This window comes from Homo sapiens, chromosome 7 (genome assembly GCF_000001405.40).
Source record: "Homo sapiens chromosome 7, GRCh38.p14 Primary Assembly".
Taxonomy (NCBI): domain Eukaryota; kingdom Metazoa; phylum Chordata; class Mammalia; order Primates; family Hominidae; genus Homo; species Homo sapiens.
In genome coordinates this window covers 117,431,658-117,447,838 of record NC_000007.14, presented here as the reverse complement: position 1 = coordinate 117,447,838, position 16,181 = coordinate 117,431,658, and the positions used below count along the sequence as shown (strand labels likewise).

At 37.2% G+C, this 16,181-nt stretch overlaps 1 pseudogene, besides 14 other annotated features; it reads left to right on the top strand.

The window, feature by feature from the left end:
• Positions 1,844 to 3,444: a DNaseI hypersensitive site, noted in NCBI's record as "DHS-35kb or -35 kb DHS observed in multiple cell types; the nucleotide coordinates are approximate for this feature". NCBI's record gives the evidence for it as "EXISTENCE:in vivo cleavage assay evidence [ECO:0001075][PMID:19897727, PMID:21895967]".
• Positions 1,986 to 3,388: an enhancer, noted in NCBI's record as "1.4 kb -35 kb fragment used in the pGL3B reporter constructs". NCBI's record gives its function as "activates a basal CFTR promoter in transfected 16HBE14o- cells, and shows cooperative activity with the -44 kb, -3.4 kb and intron 23 CFTR enhancers" and the evidence as "EXISTENCE:reporter gene assay evidence [ECO:0000049][PMID:21895967, PMID:23689137, PMID:25259561]".
• Positions 2,173 to 2,522: an enhancer, noted in NCBI's record as "DHS-35kb(350) or 350 bp core enhancer fragment used in the pGL3B reporter construct". NCBI's record gives its function as "activates a basal CFTR promoter in transfected 16HBE14o- cells" and the evidence as "EXISTENCE:reporter gene assay evidence [ECO:0000049][PMID:23689137]".
• Positions 2,383 to 2,417: a protein binding site, noted in NCBI's record as "FP2 IRF1- and IRF2-binding probe". NCBI's record gives the evidence for it as "EXISTENCE:protein binding evidence [ECO:0000024][PMID:23689137]".
• Positions 2,490 to 2,520: a protein binding site, noted in NCBI's record as "FP1 NF-YA-binding probe". NCBI's record gives the evidence for it as "EXISTENCE:protein binding evidence [ECO:0000024][PMID:23689137]".
• Positions 6,949 to 7,937, top strand: ANKRD49P4 (ANKRD49 pseudogene 4; annotated as a pseudogene).
• Positions 11,144 to 12,344: a DNaseI hypersensitive site, noted in NCBI's record as "DHS-44kb or -44 kb DHS observed in multiple cells types; the nucleotide coordinates are approximate for this feature". NCBI's record gives the evidence for it as "EXISTENCE:in vivo cleavage assay evidence [ECO:0001075][PMID:19897727, PMID:21895967]".
• Positions 11,144 to 13,032: a biological region, named in NCBI's record as "CFTR -44 kb upstream enhancer". NCBI's record gives its function as "regulatory_interactions: CFTR | LOC111674463 | LOC111674476 | LOC111674479".
• Positions 11,251 to 13,032: an enhancer, noted in NCBI's record as "Element E fragment used in the pGL3B reporter constructs". NCBI's record gives its function as "activates the CFTR promoter in transfected 6HBE14o- cells, and shows cooperative activity with the +36.6 kb CFTR enhancer" and the evidence as "EXISTENCE:reporter gene assay evidence [ECO:0000049][PMID:26615198]".
• Positions 11,896 to 12,489: an enhancer, noted in NCBI's record as "0.6 kb DHS-44kb fragment used in pGL3 reporter constructs". NCBI's record gives its function as "activates a basal CFTR promoter in transfected 16HBE14o- cells, and shows cooperative activity with the -35kb CFTR enhancer" and the evidence as "EXISTENCE:reporter gene assay evidence [ECO:0000049][PMID:25259561]".
• Positions 12,057 to 12,335: an enhancer, noted in NCBI's record as "279 bp DHS-44(279) fragment used in pGL3 reporter constructs". NCBI's record gives its function as "activates a basal CFTR promoter in transfected 16HBE14o- cells" and the evidence as "EXISTENCE:reporter gene assay evidence [ECO:0000049][PMID:25259561]".
• Positions 12,172 to 12,193: a protein binding site, noted in NCBI's record as "probe 44-b that binds NF-kB (p65) in vitro, but in vivo binding was not detected in 16HBE14o- cells". NCBI's record gives its function as "positive regulation of DHS-44(279) enhancer activity" and the evidence as "EXISTENCE:protein binding evidence [ECO:0000024][PMID:25259561]".
• Positions 12,180 to 12,189: a transcriptional cis regulatory region, noted in NCBI's record as "NF-kB (p65) binding motif mutated in the 44-b/mut reporter construct". NCBI's record gives its function as "necessary for full activity of the DHS-44(279) enhancer" and the evidence as "EXISTENCE:site-directed mutagenesis evidence [ECO:0005528][PMID:25259561]".
• Positions 12,248 to 12,275: a protein binding site, noted in NCBI's record as "probe 44-a Bach1-binding ARE". NCBI's record gives its function as "positive regulation of DHS-44(279) enhancer activity" and the evidence as "EXISTENCE:protein binding evidence [ECO:0000024][PMID:25259561]".
• Positions 12,262 to 12,268: a transcriptional cis regulatory region, noted in NCBI's record as "Bach1 binding motif mutated in the 44-a/mut reporter construct". NCBI's record gives its function as "necessary for full activity of the DHS-44(279) enhancer" and the evidence as "EXISTENCE:site-directed mutagenesis evidence [ECO:0005528][PMID:25259561]".

Below are 16,181 nucleotides of genomic sequence, written 5' to 3'. Positions count from 1 at the left end.
TATTTAAACTTTCTAGGGCAAAGTGTTCTCATCTATAAATTGGAGATAATAATATTATCTACTCTATTCGCTGTTGTGAGGATTAAATGAGATATTGGCCACAAAATATTTAACATAGTGCATGGCTGATAGTATATACTTCCTTTTTAAAGAAAATATATAAGCCAGGCACGGTGGCTCACATCTGTAATTCCTGTGCTGTGAAAAGCCGAGGCAGAAGGATCGCCTAAGCCTAGGAGTTTAAGGTTACAGTGAGCTACAAGAGTGCCACTGCACTATTATAGCTTGGCCAACAGAGCAAGATCCTGTCTACAAAAGGAAAAATAAAAGAAAACATACAATGGAATATTATTCAGCCATAAAAAGGAATCAGGTTCTGATACATGCTACAATATGGATGAACCTTGAAAACATTATGCTAAGTGACACAGATCAGACATGAAAGGACGAATATTATATGATTCCACCTATAGGAGTACCTACAACAGGCAAATTCATAGAGACAGAGAGAGTAGAGGTTACCAAGGGATAAGGGTAAAGGGGAATGGGGAGTTTCTGTTCAATAGATACAAAGTTTCTGTTTGACATGATGAAAAAGTTCTGGAAACGGATGATACTGATGGCTGTACAATATTGTGAATATACTTAATACCACTGAAATATATTTAATGCCACTAGAATTGTTATAATGGTAAATTTTATGTTATGTATATTTCACCACAATAAAGATAAAATTAAAAATGTTTTAAACGTGAACCATCATTTTTAACTTCGAAAAATCTGTAGGGAAAGCCTACACTCTCATAAGATCATGTCCCCACAATTATAATTTGAATTATTTCTAGTCATACACCTTATCTTATACTTAGCCATACCAAAGTTCAACTCTCTTCTTTCTGTTCTCTCTCCTGGCCTCTCAGACTTTTAAAATCTCTTTGTTAATTTTTTTTACATGTAAAAATCACTTGTTTAATACAATTGTGAACTCAGAGATTTAATATAAGTGCTCCATCTGTAAACATTTTAGATTAATGTCAGTACCTCTTACTGAGGAAGCCAACTACCGGTTTTCTTTTTTAAAAAGCAACAGTTCCAACTCTTCATTCCTGGTTTCTTAGTCAATTTCTAGATAAAATAAAGCATTTCCTCCAATCTTATAGTGTATCTTTTTAAGACACAGTTCGCAGGGGATGTGTGTGTGCTGGGATGTGTGTGGGGATAATAGGGTACAGCAGGGAAAAAGGGAGACTTTGTCAAAGGTATTTTTTCTAATGTTAATGAGTTACATCTAATTGTTCCTCTTTTTTTTTCAAATAGCTATTTATCATTTTATTAAACCAAACCTGATCGGTTGGCATGATTTCCCATTACGTAAATCATACTGTTCACCTCCAAATAGACTGTGTTTGTTTAAATGTTCAACAATTATACCATTCATTACAAATTCTATCCACTTCCCTGACCTTGAAGTAAAAATGGGCAATCTGTAACCAACAAGGACCTCCACTGGAATGCCTTGTGTGGATTGATTACACAGAAGTTATTTGTAATGATAAGATGTACATTTCAGTCAGCCAATGGTAGAATATTAATGTGTGCTTGGAAAAATAAAGTTATTTGTGAATATCATCTTGCTAAATAATTTTATTTCTTAATCTTCTTTTGTGTTTCCAATTTCTACCCAGACATTTTATAGTACATTCTTATTACTGTAGAGTATATATTTTTAATCCTGGATGTACATGTAATTTGTTTCACAAAAACTACATATTACTTTCAGTACTTAAAGAGCTCCTGAAAAGCTAGAGGTAAAACCCGTAATACTCTGGAATAAAGAAAATACATGCTCTTTCGTGGAACCTAGTATTCTGTTATCAAAAAGTATTCAAATTTTCTAATTTTGCAATTTTTACTATCAGAAAAAAATGTGAAGCATTAAACTTATTTCTATTCAAAGGCATACAATCTAAAATTTCCACTAGAAATCCTTGGGCCAGAAGTTCACAAGACTGATTACAAATATTTATCTATGTTCAACTTTAGAATACTGTCCATGAAAAGAATAGAGTGTAAGAACAACCGAACCCGATCACAAGATGCATTCATCATACAGATTTACTGTATTGTACTACCCATTTACGTGAGCAGTTGAGGCACTTCATAGTAAGGAAAGAAATAATTGAGTAAATCCTCTTGGTCTTATAAAAAAAAAAAAGAGGACAGTGTACTGTGGTACTTAAAAAATTGGATCATGGGTCTGGTTTAAGTCAGGTTTCCTGGGAAAGCATGAGATGAGTTTTCTTGTCCAAGTGATTTACTGGGCTGTACTCTCAAAAGAAGAAAAGTGAAGGAAGTAGGATAGGTCAGGAGAGGCAAGAATGTGGCTCAGTTAGAGACTAGTTTCAGTTTGATCCCACAGGAATGCTCTGGAGCACAAATTGCGCCACAGAATTAGCCCTACCTTGAAGCAAGTGGCTAGCCCTTTGTAACTCTCTATCATTGAGTCATTGGTCAGGATCTGCTGGTAGGAATTGGAAGAAACATAGTCTCTCAGAAGAGAGTAACTCTCTGAATTATCAGCCCACAGTCATATGAGCTGGAGGATGAAATGGACAGCAGGGTAAGGTAGATATAGCCACACATCATCTTCTACAGAGTTTCATTGTTCTGGCTTTTAATCACCACATAGCTATTACCTATGTGACACCTGGCAAGTATTTAAGTTCTCTGCTCTTGGGTTCCTTATCTATAAAATTGAGGAGAATAACCCTTGTTTCTCAAGGTTATTTCAAGGATAAAAAGAAAATAATGCATATACAGCACTAAGGCTGGTGCTGATAAATGTGCTCAGTAAATAGATGCTTTAAAAAATGCTAAATGGCTAGAAGGCAAGAATGATTTAATGAATGATATGGTTTCTTTCAATAAGACATTGTCCTTGGCGAAACTCCACAAGTAAGGAAATATTTTTGGGTCCCCTTCCAGCAGAGCATGACACAATAAAGACATTGTTGCCTATTTTTACAGATGTCTGTGCAATTGCCTAGTCTCCAGCAACTCAGTGGTGGTACTTAGTGAAAAAGCCCAAGTGGTGGGGTGAGTATGTGATTCTCATGAGAGCAGCAGCCATGCCAAAAAGATATGGAAGAACTTGCAGAAGTCATATCACTTAGCATAAGGGAACTAGAATGGAAAGAAAGAGAAAAATGGTTGAACCCTTGCAGTAGCTGACCAAACTTGTTTGTGAGGATATGAGACACTTGGTGGTGGTGGTTGGGCAGGCAGTAGAGGGTTAATACACAAGACTAAGATCCTATAACAGTAAAGAGGGTTGATGGTGTGCTAAAGGAGAATAGCAATAGGTACCTAAGGACCACGGCTTTGTCATTTTTATTCATGTGATGTATATTAGACTAGGTTAAAGATACAAGTACAGGTCTAGGGGTGACATCTGTGATTGGCATTAACTTGGGCCAGCTTGCCTAGAGCACTATTCCAGGGTATTAAAATATAACAGGGACTAAAACACAAATGCCTGCTACATGAGCTTATACTTAGCAGAAAATAAACATAATATATAAGCAAATAATACACTGTAATATGTTAGAAGGTCGTAACCACTATGAATTTTGAAAGTATGTAGAGTAGGGTAAGGTGTGCTGGAGAGTGAAGGTGGTAACCACTATGAATTTTGAAAGTATATAGAGTAGGGTAAGGCGCGGGTAAAGGAGCACTTTGCTGTATTAAATAGGATAGGCATGATAGGCCTTACTGAGAAGGTAAGAGTTAAGCAGACACATGGAGAAGGTAAACCAATTAGTCTAGTGAAGATCACCGGGAGAGCATTTCAGACAGAAGGAACAGCTACACCAAAGGACTTAAAATAGGAGAGAATCTAGCATGTTTAAGGAAAAGAGAAAGAGGAGTGAGCAAGGTGGAGAGTGGTATGAAATGAGGTCACAAGGGTAACAAGAAGAGGAATGAGTGAAACAGGGGGATTAAAAGTAGAGGAATGCTTTGCATGGTTGTTGCTGACCCTCCTTTTGCAGCCTGGCTCCTGCTCTCCATACCTGCCAGATTGGAAGAAGCCACCACTGTTCACTTCTTGAGTGTCATCTATTGCCTGCAATTACCTTTTGTTGTGCCTTTCCTGGAACAAACTTAGCACTCTCTCCCCCATCTCCTACAGCTAACTCCTGCTTAACTTTGGGATATTCTTAGGATTTTCCTACAACTAGGATATTTTTCTTCTTCGCCTTTTCACCTCACCCCTTTCTACCTCACCTTCACCACCATGACCACCACCACCCTCACACCCTCCCCTGATCCAAGAGCCTTTTTTTTTTAAGAGACAGGATCTAGCTCTGTCACTCAGGCTGGAGTGCAGTGGCACAATCATAGCTTACTGTAACCTCGAACTCCAGAGCTAAAGTGATCCTTCTGCCTCAGCCTCCCAGTGGGCTGAGATTACAGACGTGAGCCACCGCATCCAGCCCCAAGAGTCTTCTTCTGTTGTATGCATTCCCATGCTACTGAGTGGATCCTGCCATCCGACTCTTAAGGCCATTCCCATTAAAATGTAATTAAGCTTAACAAGGCTTGTATGTTTCTTATAGGTATCTTCGACCAGCACATAACAACTCAGCTTTGTTATCTAAAAAAATAGAGAATTTTATGGAATGACTATATTCTGAAAGACGATGTTTAAAGAATAGTAAAGACATTTACAACACAATATTCCTTCTTTGTCTTTCTCAAAGCCTAGTTTGGTGTCAAGAAATATTTGTTGAACAATTGTGGAACAAAAGAGACCTGGTTGCAAATCCAAGCCAAACATAGTGATTCTTGGCAAGGTAATCAAACTTCCTGAACCTGTTAGGCTGCAAAATCAGCCTAACACGTAATTCTCAGGGTGATTTTCAGACTTAAATAAAATAGCATGAAAAGGCCCCACATTTTATAGGTGCTTAATGATCATTCCATTTCCATCTTAAATATGCTTTCCTCTTCGTGTTGCTGCTTTCAGTTTACCTTGCTCACAATACTCAGCAAGAACCTATGAAGCTTCAGAAAATCTATTCTTTAGCTCATTACAGTTTAATAAATCACATAAGTCTGTTCAACTTGGCTACAAGAACATAAGAAAAGGGTTGGCCATAAAGTCAAGTCAGAGCAAGGAGATAGCTGCTTCTCTTTCCCAAAATATAATAAATACCATTCAATTATCCCCTTTTTGAAGATGTTTGTTATCCACATAACAAATTATGAGAGACATGTTTCTAAAATTTTTCTTGGATGTCAAAAACACCCTATCTATATTACTGTTTTATTTTCACGTGACAATTCCAAACATGGTTTTAAACCAAATACATGCAGGTTATAATTAGCTTAAATTACTGTGTACATGTAAATAAACATAAACTATTCTAAATAAAAATGATATATGCCAGAGGTTTCATTTTCTTCAGGTTCATAAAAACTGTTTTAAGAGCATTCTATGGCAGCAATAACTGCATAAATCTATTGTCTAGAGTTAAGCTGACATTTTCTACAACCTTGAAACACTGAAAAATGAAAGCTATTTTGACATGGTAGTAAACAATCAAGTCTACTAAAGACAAATAATCATCACATTTTGTTTATTTATAAAACATTGTAGAAATGTTAAAATTGGTGCCTCACTTCCTGGTAGACCCTCGCCATCTAACAACTCCTGGGTCTGTAGAGGCAAGTGACCTCAGGCCAAGCCCTGCAGGTCAGACTCCATCATGGGTCCCAGAATGGGTGGAAGTGGCTTCTCCAATATTGGCTGTTAGGAAGGCTGCAGGCAGAACTTCTAGGCCTATGAGTGACCAGCTAGTGGCACAAGGTTGGAACTGGATGCCCTTTTCCCTTGCTCCTGCTCACCAGACCCTGTAGTTTACAGGTTTTTATTACCCACTTCCCCTTACTGTTGCCCCTGGATCCTTGGGTTCAGAACATCTCTACTGCTTTGTGCTTACAGCAGTAAAATATAGTGCAGTGAAAAATAATGTGGAGGCCGGGCGCGGTGGCTCACGCCTGTAATCCCAGCACTTTGGGAGGCCGAGGCGGGTGGATCACGAGGTCAGGAGATCAAGACCATCCCGGCTAAAACGGTGAAACCCCGTCTCTACTAAAAATACAAAAAATTAGCCGGGCGTAGTGGCGGGCGCCTGTAGTCCCAGCTACTTGGGAGGCTGAGGCAGGAGAATGGCGTGAACCCGGGAGGCGGAGCTTGCAGTGAGCCGAGATCCCGCCACTGCACTCCAGCCTGGGCGACAGAGCGAGACTCCGTCTCAAAAAAAAAAAAAAAAAAAAAGAAAAATAATGTGGAACCTTTGAATTAGAATATCAGGCCTTTCAGTTCCATTGAAGGGTCCTTGATTTAGGGCAAGTTGTTTTAATCTATCCAAACTTCTGTGCCTTCACCTGTTGATATGGTTTAAGCTCTGTGTCCCCACCCACATATCATCTTGTAGCCCCCATAATTCCCACATATTGTGGAAGGGACCCTGTGGGAGATAACTGAATCATGGGGGTGGGTTTTTCCCATGCTGTTTTCCTGATAGTAATAAGTCTCACAAGATCTGATGGTTTTAAAAAAGGGAATTTCCCTGCATAAGCTCTTTGCCTGCTGCCATCCATGTAAGATGTGACTTGCTCCTCCTTGCCTTCCACCATGAATGTGAGGCCTCCCCAGCCATGTGGAACTGTAAGTCCATTAAACCTCTTTTTCTGCCCTGTCTCAGGTATGTCTTTATCAGCTGCACGAAAATGAACTAATACATCTGTAAAATGGAGTTTATAGCCCCACCTGTCACTGAGTTGTTTGTGATAAATTGACACAGTTCACATCTCTCCCAAAATGGAATATGCCCTTTAAGTTGGGAAAGGCATCCTATTACTGACAGAATATCAGGAATATCATCAAATCTTGATGAATAAAATAAAGTAGATATAACACATCTCTAGAAAGATTACTTATACTATTTATACCCTGGTATTTGAAGTACTTTTTATTTAGAACAGTAGTAAAAATGGATAAAGAAAGTGAATGATGATGGAAAACCAGACCAAGAGAATTCCTTGGACTTTTTTGAATACCTTAATCAAATTGAATTGTTAGAAATACAAGAATACCTTATTCCCACTGGTACTCAAAGTCTCTGAATAGGCAACTCTGATGAAGATGAGGAGCAAGATGAAAAAAACAAAGAGTGCTATGAATTGCAAGAAAAAAATGTGTGAAAAGATCTAAGTAAATTGCTTATTTGGGCTACTGAAATAAATCCACTTTTTAATAGGAGCACACCATAACCCACCAGACGTCTGTAGAAAAAACTGAAAATCATGAACTGAAGGCATGTTTCTAGCCTTACTATAGTGCAAAGACTACTTTCTGAGAAAGCCAATCATGTGAACACTAGGGACAAAGATGAATATACCCTTCTTCATCGAGCAGTCTACAATGGACACTTAGATATCATCCATGAGGTAACCGCACAAGGGGCAGATGTTCATGCAGTGACTGTGGATAGCTGGATACCCCTGTACAACACCTGTAAGTGTAATAACACCAGAGTGGCTTCTTTCTTCCTCCCACATGATACAGCTATGCATGCCCAAACAAAAGGCCTCTGAACTCCATTGCATCTTGCTTCTGGGAACAAAGATAGCAAAGATACCCTAGAACTCCTCCTGATGAACCCTTACATCAAACCAGGTGTGAAAAACAACTTGGAAGAAACAACATTTGATATCACCAAGAGGAAAAGTATCTATTACTATCTCTTTAAAACTGTGGAAAGCTGTACAAATTTTTCACCTCAATCTTAACAGTTCTAGTAATTTTCATAAATTTTTGAGTACCAGTGCCTCCTTTGTGTGAGATGTAAAATATTCCCATTAAGCAAAGTCAAGCCTACTTGAGGGTGGAGGGTGAGAGGAGGGTGAGGGTTGAAAACTACCTATCAGGTATGACTACACTCAATTCCTAGGTGACAAAATTATCTGTATATCAAACCCCAGTGACATGCAATTTACCCATATAACAAACCTGCACACGTACCCCTGAGCTAAAATAAAAGTTGAAAAATTAAAGGAAAAAAAAAACAGCGTGGATAGAAACAAAAAGCATAAATATAAATATTCAAGAAAAATAAAGTATAGCAAAAACAAATTTTAAAAAATCAATGTTGCCTATTATAATATGAAAAAACAATAAAAAATGAATTAATTTTATTATAAGAAACACAATAATAGATTAATTTCAACAGAAAAATACTTGACATGAATCATATCTGTGAGTTTTAATTTCAAAAAATAACAACAAAATGTACATTACTTCCTGCATATAATTTATAATTACTCAGGGTAATGCATTTTATAAAATAGAGCTATAAAAATGTGTCAGAATTTCTAGTAACCAAGGGAACTAGCTTTCATAAAATATGGTATCTCAGAAACCATTGTTAAGACATTAAGAAACATTAAATGTTGAGTTTTAAAGTTGTAAATCTTTGCCTTGATGAGAAAATTTGTAATGTTAACATTTGTTTCAATTCTTCTGCAATTTAATTAACATTTATCCTAAAGTAAAGACATCTATACTGGCAGGTATCTAATGAAGTACAAATGGCCTGGCTCTATGTAAATCTAGGTTTAAGTCCCAGAGCTTTTTGACACAAGCTTGATCTCATATTCCCAACTATCAAATGCAAATAATCACATTTACCTCTCTCTATTTCTCAAAGGATTTACGAGGAAATCAGAAGTATATAATATGTATGAAAATACTTACAATTGTTTGAAAGGGTGACTTTACAAATTCAAATTAACCATGTGGTTTATTATTATTGGTATAATTAGAAAGAATAAGAGCAATAGCACGCATTTATTTAGTTTTATCATTAGGTAATGTATTGCCTATTATAATAAATGTATCATTCATGAGAATGTAAGGAAGTTATATGGAAGATCACTCACATGAGAAGGCTCAGTGTTAAATCTGTCTGTGGCTTTATTTCTATACTATAGTAGAGTGGCTGAGAAGAGAGCAGATTCTGGAGACAGACAGACCACCTGACTCGATTTCTGGTTCTACATTATTTAGTTGTGTGACCATGGTCAAATTTCTTAACTTCTCACTCTTAGTTTCTCATTTGCAAAATGGTAATAAACAAAAGTACCACTTTGATAGGGCTTTCATAAGAAAGACATGAATTTGTGGCAGTCACTGTTGGCTGCCTAATTCAAAACCCATTCTCAACCTTCTTTTCCTTTCTCCTGTTCCTCTATAAAGGCAGAAAAAAAATGTCATACCTGATTTCCCAGCCTCCCTTGCAACTAGGGGTGCTAAGTAATAGTGCCAGCAGAGGAGACCTAAGCAGAAATCTGTTGGAGCTTCTAGGAAAGCTTTGGCTTTCCTGATAAAAAGAGACAGATGTACCCAGGTCCATCCTTTCCTTCCTTTTTCTTGTCTTTAACACAAACATGCTTCCTGGACCTGGGAGTGACATCTTGCAACCAAGAGGATGAGGCCAAGAGAGCAATGTAGATGCTATGAGAAACCATTGTGTCACTGAACCAATGCCAGTTTCCAGACTCCTTTTAACATGAAAAGCAATGAACCATAGGTTTTTAAGTGACCAATATTAAATACTGTCACTTGTAGCTAAGAGTATTCCTTAACTGAGTTAACATATTTTGTAAAATGCTTGGAATTGTTCTTAGTCATTGTAAATGCTCAATACACTTTAGCTATTAGTATTATTTTCCAGTTAATGACATTTTGATATTACAATTGATATTATACTTGAGATTACAATTGAATTTGAATAAGTGATATATATTTGTCTAATTTATGTATTTTCTTATAATTTCAACATAGAGCTATGTTATTTAAAATTCATTGTATTTTATACACATGATAAATGATTCTCTCTTGTAGTGACTAATCTGTCTAAAAGTCCATTTTTTGCTATCTACTTTAATTCAAGAGCCCATTAAATCTGTTGAGTTCTTTTTGGTTTTCATCAATATATTAGAATTTTAAACTGTTCTATAGTGAAGAAAGTTTTGGAAGTGATGTTCTAAAATTTCATTAGTTATCTTTTAATCCATTTTTTAAAACTTATAATTTTGCAATGTTTTTAACACTAAAATGTTCATGCATTTATGTGTTATTGCTCTTCCCCAGCAGTCTATTAGGACTACAGTTTACAAAATTATAATGTTTTATTGGAGTAAAGGTTAGCATAGTCTTAAAACACTCTTCTACCATGCCTATATGCAATGTAGTAGGGTATACATTAAAAATCTAGGAAGATAAAAAATAAATGAGATAAAAGTAAATAAGTTCCCTAGTTATTCAAACAATAAACAGACATAAAATCAAAGAAAATTATTCCAGGAAACAAATCATTCAAATTGTGAATCTATATCTCACTCTCTACTTACATTCATTTTAGAGTTTAATTAGCACTCTTTACATTATGAAGTCCAAACTGATATTCTTAATTTCAATATTCGACCTCCTCCCCCACACAGATATTCCCTACTTTTCCACCCACTTTCCCCCAACGAAATAAATGCAACAATTCACCCAATTGCTCAGGCCTAAAATTTGGATGTCATCCCTGACCCCCCTTTCCCTATCATCCCACTTCCAATCCATCAGTGAATCTTAATTGCTATCTCTACAAAATGTATAAATCCTGAATCTGACATCTAGCCACCTCCATAGATAACTGCTAGAGACCCAGTCTCCTACATCATCCTTTCACAAACATTTTCATCCATGGACTCCATACTAGAATATTTGAAGAAACAAACATGACAAACATTTTCATTTACCACTGCTTCCTAGTAGTATATTAGTTAATGCTTCTTAGCCAAAATCCATCTTCATCATTTCCTGATAAATGTTTTCCTCTTTAAGAATTTGCTTTGTTCTCTGACCTAACCATATTCCTTAAAGAAGAAAATAAATCCAGAAAAGAAGCCAGTCCTGTTTTAACAGCTTCCGTGTTCCTACTAGATTTAGAAAACTGCCCTAGACTTGTTGTCTGATATCTTTCTTCCACAACCTTTTCCAACCTTGGCTATATATTAAAATCACCAGAGGAACCTTGAGAAATATCAACTCCTGGACTCTACTCTCAAAGATTTTGACATATAGTAACTGGTTTCAACTGGGGCTGGCTAAAATTATCTCCAGGGAATTCTAAGCAGCAGACAAGGTTGAGAACCTAGACTATTATAATAGACTCTTAACTGGTGTTCCTGATTCTACACTTGCTCCCATAAATACAGTCTTTTCTCCTTGTAGCTAGAGTTACGTTTTAAAACGGTAAAATCAGAGCCATGAAACTTTCTATCACAATAACAATAAAACCTCAAAGAGGCCTTCTCTGAAATTCCTATTTTAATTCTGATTTGCTTCCATTATTCTCTATCTCCTTCACCTGGTTAATTTTTCTTTATAGAATTTATCATTACCTATTACTTAATTATATATTTATTAATTTATCTTGCTAGACTATAAACATTTGGAGGTCAAGGATCTTGCCTTGTCTTCCTCACAACTCTATCTCTGATGCCTAAAAAATACAGTAGCAGCATAGTAACTATTTGTGAAATCAATTAATGCTATATTAAAAAAGCAGTTGCTAATCTTTCCCCTTGACTATTTTGTGCACATGATTTCTAATAATTGAAAAAAAATTGATTTACCATTTTTATGCCTCTAAAATTATCTCCAAAAGAGACAACTAATCTCACTAGATCTCAGTCAAAATTAAGAATTCAGGATCCCAACAGAACTTTTTCAAACTATTGAAAACAAGAATTGTAAAAATATGATAACATTAACTTTAAAACAAATTCCCCGCAAAATCTGCCATCATCATTTGTAATACTAAAACAAACTGTATTAGCTAATCATTGCATATTGTCTGAGTGAAAGCTTGAAAGTTAAAAAAACTCAGGAACTAGGAAGAAGAGCCTAAATCTGAGTAATATTTATTACTGTGATACAGCTGGTTTCTCACCCTCTTTGTTTTACCAGTTTCCTGTCATCAGCGAACCAAGCAGAACACTGAAGTCATTAACCTAGTGTGTAGGTGGCATTCTGACCCACTCCAGGAAATCATCTTGGGGGAATTCCCAAATCTCTTCAGACAAAACCAAATTACTGATTTCTTATCTGGCCAGGAATAAAGCTTGTGACTTACCTGTAAATGAATCATAGCTCATTCTGAGTCTGATTTACTAGTCAGAAGATGAAATCTCCTTTGGAAAGGAATGTTTCCCTCTACAGAGAGTAAAACAAATGATGGAAACAAGTATTCCCCTAGAGAGAGAGAGTGCTTCTGTGAGCATTATACTTTCCAAGTAACATCTGAGCACCACCATAGGGCCCAATAGTCTGGTGTTAGTTCAGAATGTTCCACATCTATGACCTTGGGCAGTTTATATGATCTTCCTGTTCCTCAGTTTCCTCATCTATAAAATGGAGATAACGATAGTATTTACCTTAAAAAACTATAGTGAGAATTACACGAATTAGTGAATACAAAGTGTTTAGAAAAGTGTCAAGGCACTTGGAAGTGCTATTTAAGTGTTAGCAATCACTAGCCTGGTGCAGTGGCTTATGCCTATAATCTCACCACTTCGGGAGGCTGAGGCAGGAGGTTCATTTTAGACCAGAAGTTTGAGATCAGCCTGGGCAATGCAACGAGAATCCATCTCAACAAATTTTAAAATTAGCCTGCATAGTGGCATGCACCTGTAGTCCCAGCTACTCAGGAGGCTGAGGTGGGAGGATTGCTTGAGCTCAGGAGGTCGAGGCTGCAGTGAACAGTGTTCATGCCACTGCATTCCAGCCTGGGCAGCAGAGTAAGACCCTGTCAAAAAACAAACAAAAATTACTAAAAGCATGGACTGCAGAGCCAGCTGTTTCCTGCCCTCCTGGATAGATAACATTGGGCAGATAACATTACCTTTCTGTGCCTCTAATTCCTTCTGTAAAATTGAGATAGCATATACCTCAATAGGATTGTGTATTAAGTGACTTAAGAAAAGCCCATACAATGAATTTATTATCATTATTGCTGTGATTGTCATGATCTTAGATTATAATTCAGTGAAAGATTTTTGAAGCATTGATCTCTTCCATGTCTCCTGCTTCTTTGGTTACTATTTCTTAGGCCCCTGAAGTGATCCCTTTCCTTTGGTGGCTTCCTAAAGAAATAGTCAATCCCTAAGAATATATTCTTGGCCCTCTCATCTCATCCTATCCCTTCTCCTTTGATAACATTATTACTTTAATATGTCCATTATTACTTCTTAGGAAGATGACTTCTAAAGCTGGATAGCCCAGGCCTCTCTGGGGAACTTTGGACCTTAACTGGACATGGATGTTCCTTAGCTTTTTAGATGTGTCTCTGCAGAACAAAACTTACCTGTTTCCTCAAAAACTTTTCCTCCTTCTTGTTCTTGTCTTACCAGCTTTGACTCCTCTCTCCCGCTCATCCTTTATATCTAATCACCAAATCCTATTTTTTTTCAGCTTAAAATTTTAATTTATTCAGTTCATTCAAGAGTAAGTGTACCCTCGGGGTTGGATTATGTCACTGTAACATGTAAATGAGAAATGTTGGCTGGTCTTTTGAACACACAATATATAAACTTGAGAGTAGTTAATTGCTTAGTATTATCCACTATTTGGATTTGGAAACAGAGAAAATAAGTATTCAGCAAGAGGGCAAGGCATGTAAAAAGCCAAAGAGAGACAAAATATATTTTTGAGTTCAATAATGCATGCCAGTCCAGGCTTGTTCCTCGAGGCTTGCTGAATGTTGAATCCTTTGCTTGGTGCCTAGAAGTGTTTTTTTTTCATTTCCAACTTTTATTTTAAGTTCAGGGCTACATGTGCAAGATGTGCAGGTTACAGAGGTAAACATGTGCCATAGTGGTTTGCTACACAGATTATCTCATCACCTAGGTATCAAGCTCAGCATCCATCAGCTAGTCTTCCTGATGCTTTCCCTCCTTCCAACCCCCACCCTCTGACAGGCCCCAGTGTATGTTGTTCCCCACCTTGTGTCCATGTGTTCTCATCATTCAGCTCCCACTTATAAGTAACAACATGCAGTATTTGGTTTCCTGTTTTTGCATTAGTTTGCTGAGGATAATGGCTTCCAGCTCCATCCATGTCCCTGAAAAGGACATGATCTCATTCCTTTTTATGGCTGCATAACATTCCATGGTATATATGTACCACATTTTCTTTATCCAGTCTATCATTGATGGGCATTTAGGTTGATTCCATGTCTTTGCTATTGTGAACACTGCTGCAATGAACATACACGTGCCCACATCTTTATAACAGAATGATTTATGCTCCTTTGGGTGTATACCCAGTAATGGGATTGCTGGGTCAAATCGTATTTCTGCCTCTAGATATTTGAGGAATCACCACAGTGTCTTCCACAATGGTCAAACTAATTTACACTCCCACCAATAGTGTAAAAGCATTTATTTTTCCCCACAACCTCACCAGCATCTGTTGTTTTTGACTTTTTAATAACTGCCATTCTGACTGGCTGAGATGATATCTCATTGTAGTTTTGATTTGCATTTCTCTAATGGTCAGTGATGAGCTTTTTTCCATCTGTTTATTGGTCACATGTATGTCTTCTTTTCAGAAGTGTCTGTTTATGTCCTTTAGCCCACTTTTTAATGGGTTTTTTTTTCTTGTAAATTTAAATTCCTCGTAGATGCTGAATATTAGACTTTGGTCAGATGGATAGATTGCAAAAATTGTCTCCCGTTTTGTAGGCTGTCTGTTCACTCTGAAGACAGTTTCTCTTGCTGTGCAGAAGCTCTTTAGTTTAATCAGATCCCATTTGTAAGTTTTTGATTGTTGCAATTGCTTTTGGTGTCTTCATCATGAAATATTTGCCCATGCCTATGTCCTGAATGGTATTGCCTAGATTTTCTTCTAGGGTTTTTATAATTTTAGGTTTTACATTTAAGTCATTAATCCATCTTCAGTTGATTTTTGTATGTGGTGTAAGCAAAGGGTCCAGTTTCGATTTTCTGTATATGGCTAGCCAGTTCTCCCAGCACCATTTACTAAATAGGGAATCCTTTCCCCATTGCTTGTTTTTCTCAGGATTGTCAAAGATTAGATGGTTGTGGGTGTGCTCTCCAGCAAGGGCTCAGAACTAGGCTGAGGCTGAGATGGCTGAAATGGCAGAAGTAAACTTCAGAAGGTAGGTAATAATGAACTTTGCTGAGCTAAAGGAACATGTTTAACCTAATGCAAAGAAGCTATGAATCGTGATAAAACAAAACAGGAGCTGACAGCCAAAATAGCCAGTTTACACAGGAACATAATCAATCTCTTAGAGCTGAAAAACATACTACAAGAACTTCACAATGGAATCATAAGTATTAACAGCAGACTAGACCGAGTGGAGGAAAGAATCTCAGAGCTTGAAGACTATCATTCTGAGATAAGACAGGCAGACAGGAATAGAGAAAAAAGAATGAAAAGGAATGAACAAAACCTCTGCGAAATATGGGATTATGTAAAGCGACAGAATCTATGACTGATTGGGGTACCTCAAAGACATGGTGAGAATGGAACCAAGTTGGAAATCATACTTCAGAATGTCATGCGGGAGAACCTCCCCAACCTAGCAAGACAGGCCAACATTCAAATTCAGTAAATGCAGAGAACCCCAGTAAGATACTCCACGAGCAGATCATCCCCAAGACACATAATCATCAGATTCTCCAAGGTCAAAATGAAAGAAAAAAATATTAAGGGCAGCCAGAGAGAAAGGCCAGGTCACCAACAAAGGGAAGCCCATCAGACTATTAGCAGATCTCTCAGAAAAAAACCCTGCAAGCCAGAAGAGATTGGGGGCCAATATTCAACATTCTTACAGAAAAGAATTTCCAAGCCAGAATTTCGTAACTGGCCAAACTAAGCTTCATAAGTGAAGAAGCAATAAGATCCTTTTCAGACAAGCAATTGCTGAGGATATTTGTTACCACCACACTTGCCTCGCAAGAGCTCCTGAAGAAAGCACTAAATAAGGAAAGGCAAAACCATTACCAATCACTACAAAAACACACTGAAGTGCACA